Source organism: Homo sapiens, chromosome 15 (genome assembly GCF_000001405.40).
Source record: "Homo sapiens chromosome 15, GRCh38.p14 Primary Assembly".
Taxonomy (NCBI): domain Eukaryota; kingdom Metazoa; phylum Chordata; class Mammalia; order Primates; family Hominidae; genus Homo; species Homo sapiens.
Window position 1 is genome coordinate 32,250,516 of NC_000015.10, and position 13,703 is coordinate 32,264,218.

At 37.7% G+C, this 13,703-nt stretch overlaps 1 long non-coding RNA gene across 10 annotated transcripts in view; it reads right to left on the minus strand.

Annotated features, from left to right (window-relative positions):
* LOC102724078 (uncharacterized) overlaps positions 1-13,703 on the minus strand; it is a 187,103-nt gene that overhangs the window by 94,551 nt on the left and 78,849 nt on the right. The window contains exon 3 of one of the 10 annotated variants that reach the window (XR_007064568.1): positions 1,461-1,515. The exons of the other annotated variants lie outside the window; for them this stretch is intronic. This is a non-coding gene — a long non-coding RNA (uncharacterized LOC102724078). The remainder of the gene's footprint in view (positions 1-1,460; positions 1,516-13,703) is intronic. 10 annotated transcript variants of the gene reach the window in all.

Genomic DNA, 13,703 nt, shown 5'->3' on the forward strand with positions numbered 1-13,703 from the left:
GAGGTCTGAGACATTTGGTGACAACAGGGAGGCGTGATGAGCTTTGCACGTCTACTTATGGGGACTGACCTGGTGGGCATGCCCTCCACTTCTGTAGGTGCATGAGGGCATCTCCTCTGCAACCATCCAATGCCTAGAAATGGTCCACTTTTTTTTTTTTTTTTTTAAGACAGAGTCTCGCTCTGTTGCCAAGGCTAGAGGGCAGTGGTGCAATCTTGGCTCACTGCAACCTCTGTCCCTAGGTTCAGGCGATTCTCCTGCCTCAGCCTCCTAAGTAGCTGGGACTACAGGTGCCCACCACCACGCCCCACTAATTTTTGTATTTTTAGTGGAGACAGGGTTTCACTATGTTGGCCAGGCTAATCGCAAACTCCTGACCTCAGGTGATCCGCCTGCTTCGGCCTCCCAAAGTGCTGGGATTACAGGCATGAGCCACCACGACCGGGCCCACTTCGTATGTCTTGAGTCTCTTTCTTTGCCTTTTCTCTTTAGCCTTCCATTCAGCAGAAGTGACATTTGCATTTTCATGAAAAACTCCTGTGCTATAACTTTTTGTAAACGATTCCTTTCAAGAACACAGTTTTAAAATTGCACTGTATGTTCTAAGAAATAACTGTGGTCCTTGAAAGTGTACACCTCCAAATTTTGGTTAATGGCGAGGAGTAACTTGGAGAGCTGCTGCTTCTTCAGTCTGATGACACATTCTATTACAAAGATAAGTGACTTCCTTCTTAAGTCGTGATTTTTCCTGTAAGGCAATTTCTTCTGTTAGCTATTTCTGTGAGTGACACTTTTTTTTTTTTTTTTTGAGGCGGAGTCTCACTCTATCGCTCAGGCTGGAGTGGTGTGGTGCGATCTCGGCTCACTGCAAGCTCCGCCTCCCGCGTTCACACCATTCTCCTGCCTCAGCCTCCCGAGTAGCTGGGACTACAGGCGCCCGCCACCATGCCCAGCTACTTTTTTGTATTTTTAGTAGAGACGGGGTTTCACCGTGTTAGCCAGGATGGTCTCGATCTCCTGACCTTGTGATCCGCCCGCCTCAGCCTCCCAAAGTGCTGGGATTACAGGCGTGAGCCACCGCGCCCGGCCTGAGTGACAATTTTAAAAACTTGACTATTCCGATGATCCAATTAGACAGAGTAACACTTCGGGTGCTGCTAAAGTCTGCAGTAATTTCTTGTTCTCTGAGATGAATTTTGTTCAGTATGATCAAGTCCAACATGCCCAACCAGGGGAGGGCCTCCCGTAAGCTTGCCATAGGACACAGCTTGTTTTTGTTACTTCTAAACACATGTGCAGGACAAGAGATTGGCAAAGGACGGGTATATTAGTAAATATATTTATATTATTTTTTCTAGAAATCATTTCGCCTTTTAGAATTGTGACAAAATCATTCTTATTAAATGTAAGTCAACAAATAAAGCTGGATAAATAAAATTGTAAAGTGTGACTCCACTCACCATGGTGGAGCTCCAGGACACCTATGCGATCCCTCCACTTAAGAGAATTCGGCTGCTGCTTTAAAAAATAAAAACTGTTTTTAAAACTCAATCAATCAGCATTGCATTATTTAACTGAGAGAGTAAAAATCTCACTGTTTCGAGGTTTTTCCCCTCAGAAACAATCATTCACATTAAGTTTCATCACTAATGGTATAATTTGCCTAATCTGATATTAATCTAAAAACTTAGAGGAAAACAAAATCAGCAACGTGTTAACTGGTGAAAGTTCTCTCTCAAAATCAAAATTCAATAGAATTATTTCATGTAACATGGTTTATTTTGTTATAGAAAGTAAAGGTGACAAAAGTAAAGGTGACAAAATGAGCACAAAGGGAGTTCTTCATAAAAAGAAACCTGCCAAGAATTCTTGCAATTTCTCATAAGTCACTTTTGTCAGGTTCAAATCTACATGAACTAGACTATCCTCAACTGTTAGAGACCCTAAAATCCATTCCAACATGGCCAAATATCATGTGTTTCTTAATGATAGGAATATGTTCTGAAAAATGCATTGTTAGGTAATTTCATCACTGTGCGAACATCACTAAGTACACTTACACAAACCTAGATGGCATAACCTACTACACGCCTGGGCTCTGTGGTACAGCCTACTGCTCCTGGGCTACAAACCTGCACAGCATGTAACTGTACTGAATACTGTAGGCAACTGTAACACAACGGTAAGTATGTTTGTATCTAAACATGTCTAAACATACAAAGAGTGCAGTAAAAAATACAGTATAAAAGACACACATGGTACACCTGTTTAGGGCAGGTACCACTAATGGAGCTTGCAGGACTGGAGGTGGCGTTGGGTGAGTCAGTGAGTGAGTGGTGAGTGAATGTGAAGGCTAGGACATTACGGTACACTACCGTAGACTTTATAAATACTGTGCACTTAGGCAACACTAAATTTATAAGAAAATATATTTTTCCTCAGTAATAAATTAACCTTGGCTTATTGTAACTTTTTTACCCTATGAGCGTTTTAGTATTTTTTTGTTTTTGTTTTTTACTTTTTGACTACTGTGTAATAATACTTAGTTTAAAACACAGATTGTCCAGCTATAAAAAAAATTCTTTCTTTATATTCTTATCCTATAAGCTTTTTTAATTTAATTTTTACTCTTTCGACTTTTTAAACTTTTTTGTTAAAAATTAAAACATGAGCCCACACATTAGCCGAGGCCTACCCAGGGTCAGGAGCATCAGTGTCACTGTCTTCCACCTCCACAACTTGTCCCACTGGAAGGTCTTCAGGGGCAGTAACACGCATGGAGCTGTCACTTCCTAAGATAACAGTGCCTTCTTCTGGAATAACTCCTGACAACCTGCCTGAGGCTGTTTTACAGTTAACCTTTTTTATAAGTAGAAACATACATTCTAAAATAAAAATAAAACCTACGGTATAGTAAATACATAAACCAGCAACATAGTTATTGCCATTATCAAGCATTAATACTGTACATAATTCTACGTGCTACCGTTTTATAAGACTGGTAGTGCAATAGGTTTATTTTCACAGCATCACCGCAAACATGGGAGGAAAACACTGCACTATGTTACGATGGCTACAACTTCAAGAGGCTATAGGAATTTTTCAGCTCTGTTATAATCCATGGGATCACTGTCGTATACGCGGTTTGTCACTGACTGAAACATTATTACACAGTGTCTGACTGTAATTCATTGATCTGGAAAGCCAGTTCAGCAGGTGTTGGCACCTCCAGACAGTGGATGGTAAGAGATTTGATCATCCCTGGCATGGCAGTCAACATATCAGCCTAATAATTGTCACTGACTCTGGCTGACAAAGTACCGCATGATATTAGAATTTTCTCCATTTCCTGTTCATCGTCATTCATAAATTCTTCTGTGTTTATCTAAAATTTCACATAATCTGGCCCGGCGCAGTGGCTCATACCTGTAATCCCAGCACTTTGGGAGGCCGAGGCATACGAATCACCTGAGGTCAGGAGTTCGAGACCAGCCTGCCCAACATGGTGAAACCCTGTCTCTACTAAAAATATAAAAATTAGCCGGGCTTGGTGGTGCATGCCTGTAGTCCCAGCTACTTGGGAGGCTGAGGAAGGAGAATCGCTTGAACCCAGAAGGCAGAGGTTGCAGTGAGGCGTGATCGTGCTACTGCACTCCAGCCTGGGCAACAGAGACTCAGTCTCAAATAACATAAAATAAATAAAATAAATAAAATAAAATAAAATAAAATAAAATAATTTAAACAATAAAATAAAATAAAATAATTTAAACAATAAAATAAAATAATTTAAACAATAAAATAAAATTTCACATAATCCTTTGGAAATCTTTCATTTTTTTCTTTCTTTTTTTATTATACTTTAAATTTTAGGGTACATGTGCACAATGTGCAGGTTAGTTACATATGTATACATGTGCCATGCTGGTGTGCTGCACCCATTAACTCGTCATTTAGCATTAGGTATATCAACACAATTAATTTCCTCATTTAATTCAAGATGTGAAGAGCTCAACACAGAGTTCAAAATATCACACAGATTCAAAGAAGAATGTATACTGTGTCCAATGTCTGGAGCTACTGGGTTCTTCTCCATTCCATTCATGTCTTTAGGGGTTGTAGCGTTTAGATACCTAGAAAAGACTACTTGATGCTATGTAAGCCTAAAAGTTCTGCCTAACTATTAGGGAGCAGTTCGTTAGTATTCTTTGGGTCTACAACAGCATCAGGAAATACACTTGCTATTAATTCAGTTTTTTTGTTGTTGTTTTTATTTGTTTGTTTGTTTGAGGCAGAGTCTCCCTCTGTCCCCCAGGCTGGAGTGCAACGGCCCGATCTCGGCTCACTGCAAGCTCCACCTCCTGGGTTCATGCCATTCTCCAGCCTTAGCCTCCCGAGTAGCTGGGACTACAGGCGCCCGCCACCACGCCTGGCTAATTTTTTGTACTTTTAGTAGAAACGGGGTTTCACCGTGTTAGCCAGGATGGTCTCGATCTCCTGACCTTGTGATCTGCCCGCCTCAGCCTCCCAAAGTGCTGGGATTACAGGCGTGAGCCACCGCGCCCAGCCTATTAATTCAGTTTTTTCAGAAGTTACAGCTTTTATTTCTGCTTGTTCTGAGCTTTCCCTTTCTGCATCTTTGGTAGGCTCTGCACACATTATTGTTACTCATTCAAAACTGAATGTGAAGTTAAGGGATGTAAAGTGAATACAGGAAAAATTTCCTAAATTTTTATTATTCAAATTTGCATTTTGTGTAGAAATACATATAATACTTATAAACTCACTTGAGTCACAAAGTATTAACATCTCGTTAAGGCAAAATGAATCTATTTGGTCCTCGGGAAGAAAGTTCAATTTCTTTTCTTTCTTTCTTTTTTTTTTTTTTTTTTTTTTTTTTGAGACGGAGTCCCGCTCTTTCACCCAGGCCGGAGTGCAGTGGCGCCATCTCGGCTCACTGCAAGCTCCGCCTCCCGGGTTCACGCCATTCTCCTGCCTCAGCCTCCCAAGTAGCTGGGACTACAGGCGCCTGCCACCACGCCCGGCTAATTTGTTGTATTTTTCAGTAGAGACGGGGTTTCACCGTGTTCGCCAGGATGGTCTCGATCTCCTGACCTCGTGATCTGCCCGCCTCGGCCTCCCAAAGTGCTGGGATTACAGGCGTGAGCCACGGCGCCCGGCCAGGAAGTTCAATTTCTTAAAAGCATTCTCGGTTAAGGAATCCAAATCTTCGATTCGCTACATGTCCAAAAGTGAATCCATGTTTGAAGCTTCACTCCCTTCTTAAGAAAGCCACTTTTCCATGATCTCACTTCCTGATGCACTCTCCTGACTCTCAGAACCAATTCATCTGCCCGAGAAGATTCTTATTTCAGATAATCTTAATAGACAATCTATTGCATTTCAACTGAGAGGATTGCTGTGCGGACTAAACGAGATAATCCCTAAAAGCCTGCTGTGTAAGAAGACTGGCACTTAGTAAGCACCCAACTACGTTCCCTTTGAAGTCACATTCGGAGCGCATCCAGTACACAACATCCAGTCCAGGTAGAAAACGTCTCTGAGACACTGGGGAAAAGCTCTTTCTGATCTATTTTTGTCTCTTCCATACTTTTTCTTTCAGAAGGAAGATACTGTCAATATGACATTTCACCACTAAAAAATGTCCATTATATATCTCCTTAAAATGGAAATATCCTGCTATAAAATGACACCCCCATAATCAAAGCGAAGAAAATTAAACTAATCCCCACTATCATCTCGTACACAGTCCATATTCAAATTTCTCCAAGTGCTTCAAAAATGACTTTTATAATTTTATTAAAACAAGAATACAGTCTACATTCGCATATTACATTTTGTTATTGCGTCTCTTCAATAAAGAAAGCCCTCTCCTTTTTTCTTTTGTCGTGGTATTGATTTATTGAGGGAACTGAGCTTGTGGAATATTTTGTATTCTGGATTCATGGTTGAATCTTCTATTTTCCATATTTCATACAACTGAGAAACTAGATTTAAAAGCTTGTTTAGATTTGTACTAAATATTTTTGGCAAGAATACGGCTTCTGTGTATTTCATACCACCTTGCACCAAGAGGCACATAATATTAGGAAGTTTCTGTTAGTGATGTTAATTGTATTGCATAGCTAAATGTGTAACGGTGCTCCGTTATCTAAGGTATGTTTACCCTTTCCAGTCCGCAAGCACTCCATGGGGTGATGTTATGAGACTGCAGGAATATCGTGTTCCTTATTACCCTGCCTTTACTGCTTTTCAGCATCTCTTGATGATCCTTATCTGAATCCCTTATTTTACTAGTTTACACTATGGTGATTTTTCTATTTTGTTCATTCCTTCTACATTTATTTACTGATTTTCCTCTTTCCCCCCTCATAATGACTACTGAAATGCTTCTATTAAAATATCAATTATCAAAATATTTCAACCCCACACTTCTCCACCAAGGCTGGCTTTGCTGTACCTTAAGCCTGAGTTTATGGGGGTAATCCAGCCCCTTGAGCAGGGCTCCTTCACCTGAGACCCCAGCTAGGCTGCTCAGTTCAGGTTCTGGAGACAACTTCTGAGTCATCTCCAAATTTTAGTGGTAGACTAAGCACCAGTATATGAGGTATTTATACATTTTTTACTCTTTATTTTACGATAATTATAGATTCACATGCAGTTCTAAGAAATAATCACATCCCATAAACTCTTCCCCCAATTTCACTCAGTGGTAACATATTGCATGACAAGAGTACAGTATCAAAAGTGGGACACTGGCATTGATGCAATCCATTGCCTCTATTCAAATTTCACCTGCTTTACATGCACTCATTTGTCTGTGTGTGGATATTTATTTCTATGAAATTTTACCTTACTTATAGATTTGTGTGACCACCGCCACAGTCAAGATACAAACAGACCCATCAACAATTCTTTACTAACCTTCATAGTCACAGCCTCTCCCTGTATCTTGAGCCCTTGGCAATCATTAATCTGTCTTCCAACTCTATAATTTTGTCATTTTGAGAGTGCTATATTAATGGAATCATATCACATGTAACTTCTTACGATTGGCTTTATTTTTCTTTTTTTTGGTGGGCACAAATTCCTGGAGTTCACCAAAGTTGTTAAGCATATTAATAGTTTGTTCCTTTTTATTTCTGAGTGTTCCATATGCATGTACCACAGTTGTACCATTTGCCCACTGAGGGACATTTGAGCTGTTTCCAGTTTTCAATTATTATAAACAAAACTGCTGTGAATATTCACATACTGGTTTTTTGTGAACATAAGTTTTCATTTCTCTGGGATAAATGCCCAAGAGTGTAATTCCTGGGTTGTATAATAAGTATACTGTAAGTGTTTTGTAAGAAGTGTTTCTGCTGAACCTTTCCCAGAGAGGCTGTACATACTATTGTCCCATTTTATATTTCCACCAAAAATCTATGAGTTATCCAGTTATGTGGCATTTTTGCCAGGATTTGGTGTCATCACTGTTAGTTTGCCTGTTTGTTTTAGCCATTTTGACAGGTGTATAGTGATATTTCACTGGGATTTTAATGTGCATTTCTCTAACGGCTAATGATATTGCATGTCTTTTCATATGTTCATCATCTGTCTGTCCTACTTAGTGAAATATATTTTGCTAATTTCTCATTGGATTGATTTTTAACTGTTGAGTGTTAAGTGTTCTATATACATTATAGATACAAGTCATTGTTTAGATACGTGGTTTATAAATATTTTCTCCCAGGTTTTTATTCTTTTCACATAGGCTTTCACAGAGCAAAAGTTTTGGTGAAGTCCTATTATCAATTTTTTCTTCCCCTTTCTAGATCATGATTTCTGTGCCAAGTCTAAGAAGTTTTTGCCTAGCCATATATCGTGGAAGATTTTCATTTGTCTTTTTAAAAAGGTTTTCTAATTTATGTTTTGCATTTGTGTGTGTGATGCACTTTGAGTTAGTCTTTTGTGTAGGCTGTGATGTTTAGGACAATGTTCGTTTTTTGGCTTATGAATGCCAAATTGTTCCAGCGTCACTTGTTAAAAAGACGATCCTTCCTCCATTAAATTGCTTTATCATCTCTGTTGAAATGAATTCCTTTATTAGTCAGTTGGGCTTATTTGTGTGGGTTTATTTTTGGGTTCTTTATCCTGTTCCATCTATCTGTGTATCTATTATTTGCTAATAAACATTGTCTTGATTATTGTAGCTACATAATATCCCTTATTGTGTATCTAATAAAATATGCATACAATTGACCCTTGAACAACATGGGTTTGAACTGTGCAAATCTATTTATATGTGGATTTTCTTCTGCCACCCCGAGACAGCAAGACCAAACCCTTCCCTTCCTCTTCCTCCTCAGCTCACTCAACATGGAGACAATGAGAATGAAGGCCTTTATGATGACTCACTTCCACTTAATGAATAGTAAATATATTTTATCTTCCTTACGATTTTCCTAATAACATTTTCTTTTCTCTAGCTTATTTTATTGTAAGAATACAGTACATAATACATATAACATACAAAGATTTTTTCACTCACCTGTTTGTGTGATCAGTAGGTCTTCCACTCAACAGGGTATTAGTAGTTAAGCTTTGGGGAGTCAAAAGTCATATGTGGATTTTTGACTGCACAAAAATCCACATATATGTCGGGGAGGGGAGCTCCTGATGCTCACATTGTTCAAGCGTCAACTTCATGTACAGTTATCCCTCGATATCAATGGGGCAGAGTTCCAGAACCTCCCACTGACAATCAGAATCCCCAGGTGTTCAAGTCTCTGATATAAAATGGCATAGTATTAGCATATAACTTATGCGCCTCCTCCCATATACTTTAAATCATCTCTATTATTAGTTATATTGCCTAGTACCATGTAAACACTATGTAAATAATTATTATACTTATACAGTATTATTTGCAATAATGATAAAAGTCTGTATATGTTCAATACGAACTCCATTTTTTTAAAATATTTTTGATTCATGATAGGTTGGATCCACAGATGCAGAACCTATGGATACACAAGATGAAATATATTTGGTTTTTGTCCCTGGTTCCTGGCACAGAACTGCAATTTCCCGAGTGATAGGCGTGTCTTTTGAATGAGTGTTGGATTGTGTCATATTTTTCTGAGGATATCTATATGATTATATGATTTTTCTTTAGCCTATTGATATAATTATTATATTAATTGATTTTCAGATATTGAACCAGATATATATCTCTGGAATATATCCCACTTGGTCAAACGTGTAATTCTTTCTATGCATTTGGATTTGATTTGCTAATACTTTTGAGGATTTTTGCATCCAAGTTTATGGGAGATATTGGTCCATAGTTTGGGGGTTTTTTGTACTCTTTGTTTAATTTTGTATTAGGGTAATACTAACTTCATAAATGAGTTAGTGTTTCCTTCTCTTCTATTTTCTGGAAGTGATTGCATAAAATTTGTGTCAATTCTCTCCTAAATGTTTGGTGGAATTCTCTAGTAAAACCATCAGGGCCTGAACATCTCATTGCGGGAGATTTTTATTATGTATTCAATTAATTTAATGATTGTAAGACTAATCAGATTTTCTATTTCTTCTTGATTGAGTTTCATAGCTTGTGACTTTTGAGAAATTGATCCATTTCTTCTCAGTTGTTGAATTTATGAGTGTGAAGTTGTTCATAATATTCCCTTATTCTTTTAATGGCTACATGATCTGCAGTAATAACTCCTGTTTCCTTCCTCATACTGGTGACACGTCTCTCTCTTTTATATCTTTGTCAACTTGCTAGATGTTTATCATTTTTTATTTTCTTTTCAAAAAAGCTGCTTTTGATTTATTGGTTTTCTTCCATTGTTTTTATATTTTTAGTGTTATAAATTCCTGCTTTTATCTTTATTATTTCCTTTCTTTTGCTTACCTTGAATGTATTTTGCTCTCCTTTTTTCAGTTTCTTGAGGTAGGAACCCAGACTAATGATTTGATCCCTTTTTCTTTATCTAAACTTTGAGAATTGTTATTGTTTCTTCCTTGAATGTAGAAATAATCAGTGGAGCCAGGTACGTCTGAAATTTTTATTGTGCGAATATTTTAACTATGAATGCAATTTTAAAAATAGATACAGAGCTACTCAGAGCTTCGATAATTTGGATATTCCAAGAAATATGTCCACTTTATCTAAGTTACCACACTTACCGTAATGAGGTGTTTATAATACTTTAAAAATCATCTTTTTAATAGTTGTAGGATTTGTAGTGATGTCCCTTTTTAATTCCTGATAATAATGAACTAATTTTATTACTGCTTTTTAAAAAGTGGATTTTAGTTTTATTTCTGATTGTTATTCTATTTCATTGATTTCTGCTGTCATGTTTATTATTTGCAAATATTTGAAGATTTTTCAGATTTTCATGTTACTCATTTCTAATTTAATATAATTGTTGTCAGAAGAATTGTGGATGATTTCAGTCCTTTTTTATTGAGAATTTTTCTATGGTTTATGATATAGTCTATTTTGGTAAATAGTGCATGTTCACTTGAAAGGAATATGTATGATGGAGTATTCTATAAATGTCTATTAGGTCAGGATTATGGTAATGTTGCTTAAGTTGGCTATATTTTTACTGATTTTCTATCTACTTCTCACTGATTATTGTCAGTGGGATGTTGAGATCTCCAACTATAAATGTGAATTTGTTTCTTCTTGTAATTCTCAGATTTTTTTCCTTCATGTATTTTGAAGTTATGTTATTAGGAGCATAACATTTAGGGTTATTATATTGTTTTGATGAATTGCTCCTGTAATCATTATGAAAGACCCTCTTTTTTCTTGGCACCATCCCTTGTCCTGAAATATACCTTGATATTAATATAGTTTCCCATCTGTTCTTTGTTCTCCTTTCTTATATTTTTCTGCCTTCACTTGGGTCAACTGAGCACCTTTCATACTTTTAATTTATCTTCTTAGTTATTTTTTCACTCATGGCTATTTGCTCTTAGTTTATAATGTGCATCTTGACTTATGAAAGTCTGATTTCAAATAATATTACCACTTCAAATCTCGTATAAGAGCTTTACAACTGTATACTTACATTTTCCTCTCCCATTATTGCATGATTGTTGTCACATTTTACTTCTGAATTTGTTTTAAAATTAAAATACATGGTTACTTTGCTTTAATCATCTATTTTCAGAGTGATTTCAAAATATAAAAATGTCATTGTATTCACCCAAATATTAACACACACATTTCCATTTCCAGTGTTCTTCATTCATTTAGGTAGATGCACATTCCTATCTGCTTTTATGGAGAAAGTCAATTTCTGGTTTTTCTATTTTTGTTGGTTGCAGAATTCTAGGTTGCCAGATTTTCCTTCAGTACTTGAAAGATGTTTTTCCACTATCTTCTGGCTTATTGTTTCCACTATTTCACTGTTGTTTTTCTTTTTCTTTCTTTTTTTTTTTTTTTTTTTTTTTTTGAGATGGAGTTTCGCTTTTGTTGCCCAGGCTGGAGTGCAATGGCGCAATCTCAGCTCACCGCAACATCTGCCTGCCTCCCAGGTTCAAGTGATTCTCCTGCCTCAGCCTCCCAAGTAGCTGGGATTAAAGGCATGCGCCACCACACCCACCTAGTTTTGTATTTTTAGTACAGACGGGGTTTCTCCATGTTGGTCAGGCTGGTCTTGAACTCCCGACCTCAGGTGATCCGCATGCCTTGGCTTCCCAAAGGGTTGGGATTACAGGCATGAGCCACCATGTCCAGCTGATTTCTTTTTCTTTTTTCTTTTTTTAGAGATGGGGTCTTGCTCTGTCACCCAAGCTACAGTGCAGTGGTGCAATTATAGCTCACTGTAACCTTGAACTTCTGGGCTCAAGTGATCCTCCCACCTTAGCCTCCCGAGTAAGCTGGGACTGAAGGTTAATTTTTTGATGTTGGTTTTACTTTCTCTGCCCAATCTGAAAATCTCTGCCTTTTATTTGGGAACACATTCAATTAAACTCAATTAGATTTTACTTGCTAAAAAGAGTCCAAGGCACAGACACAATGGTAAACCACATAAACTCTTCAGGTTCCCTGCCAGTTCCAGACATCAGTTTTTCTTCCCCCCGAAAAAACACAGTAAAACCCTGTCTCTACCAAAAAGGAAAAAAATTATTATTTTTTTTTTTGTAAAGACAGGGTTCTGCTGTGTTGCCCACGCTGGTCCCAAATTCGTGGCCTCAAGTGATCCCCTGCCTTGGCCTCCCCAAGTGCTTGGATTACAGGTATGAGCCGCTGCACTTGGACTTCTTATTCTTATCTTCGTTTCTCTGTATGTATTGAGTTTCAGTATGTGTTAATACATTACTGTATTTAAAAAAATTTTTTAGTTTTGTTTTAGGACGCAGATAAGTTATTTAGAAACAAATCTGATCTTTTCTAGCTTTGCTTTTAATCTTTCTTACGTGGGATAGATCAAACCTTTAATCAAGGGCTATTTTTTTTTTCTGTTACTGAGCCAATATATTTCCGATTACTGTACCCAATGTGTCATGCATTTTAACAGTTTGCCTTTCTGGCTGATAGAAACAAAATATCCCTAGTTCCATGTGATCCCTGGAAATTATTATGCCTACTTCATTAGACTGTACTTTGGTCTTGGATATTTTCATACACATGCACTTATCAATACTAACCTGGAGACTCAAGTGACATCTTTGCAGATATCTGGAGTTCAATGTCTCTCTCTTCTTTCCTCTCTTCCTCTCTTCTCTTCCTCTTCCTTTTGCTCTGCCTCTTCTTCTTCCTCTCTCTCTCTCGTTGTCTCTTCCCTCGTACTCTGTCCCATGAACTCTAGCTACGTTGGTTCCCCTGAGCCAACTCTGTCCCAATTCTGTCTCCTCAACTCAAATGCTGGCTTAAGTTATCCCTCCCTGGGCTCTTTCCTTAAGCAAGTTTCCTTTAATAGCATTTTATCCACTGTAGAACTTCAATCAGAATTGAAGTCAATCCTCTCAAACCCTGCCACTTCTTTACTAACTAAATTTATGTAATATTTTAAATCCTTTGTAGTCATTTCAATGGTGTTCATGGTATCTTCACCATGAGTAGATTCCATCTTAACTAATCACTTTCTTTGGTAACTCATAAGAAGAAACTCCTCATCCATTCAAGTTTATCAAGAGATGCAGCAATTCTCCACTTCTAATTCTAGTTTTCTTGCTATTTTCACCACAACTGCAGTTACTTCTCCCACTGAAGCCTTGAACCCCTCAAAATCATCCTTAGGGTTGGAATACACTTCTTCCAATCTCCTGTTAATGTTGATATTTTGACCTCCTCCCATGAATTACACATGTTCTTTGTGGCGTCTAGAATGGTGAGTCCTTTCCAAAAGGCTTTTTATTTACTTTGCCTGGATACATCAAAGCGATCACTATCTATGGCAGCTGTAGCCTTAGAAAATGTTATCTATGTAATGTATCCATGTTCAATTCAATTAAACTCAATTAGATTTTATTTGCTAAAAAGAGTTCAAGGCACAGACACAATAATAAACCACATAAATTCTTCAGGTTCCCTATCAGTTCCAGACATCAGTTTTTCTTCCCAAAAGCGTTGTTCTGGATTGCAGGCCTAGGTCAGGTGAGAGGGTACCAGCAGAGGGATGCCTGCATGCCTGCTCCAAACCGGTGCCTCCCCAGCAGTCCTGAGTTGCATG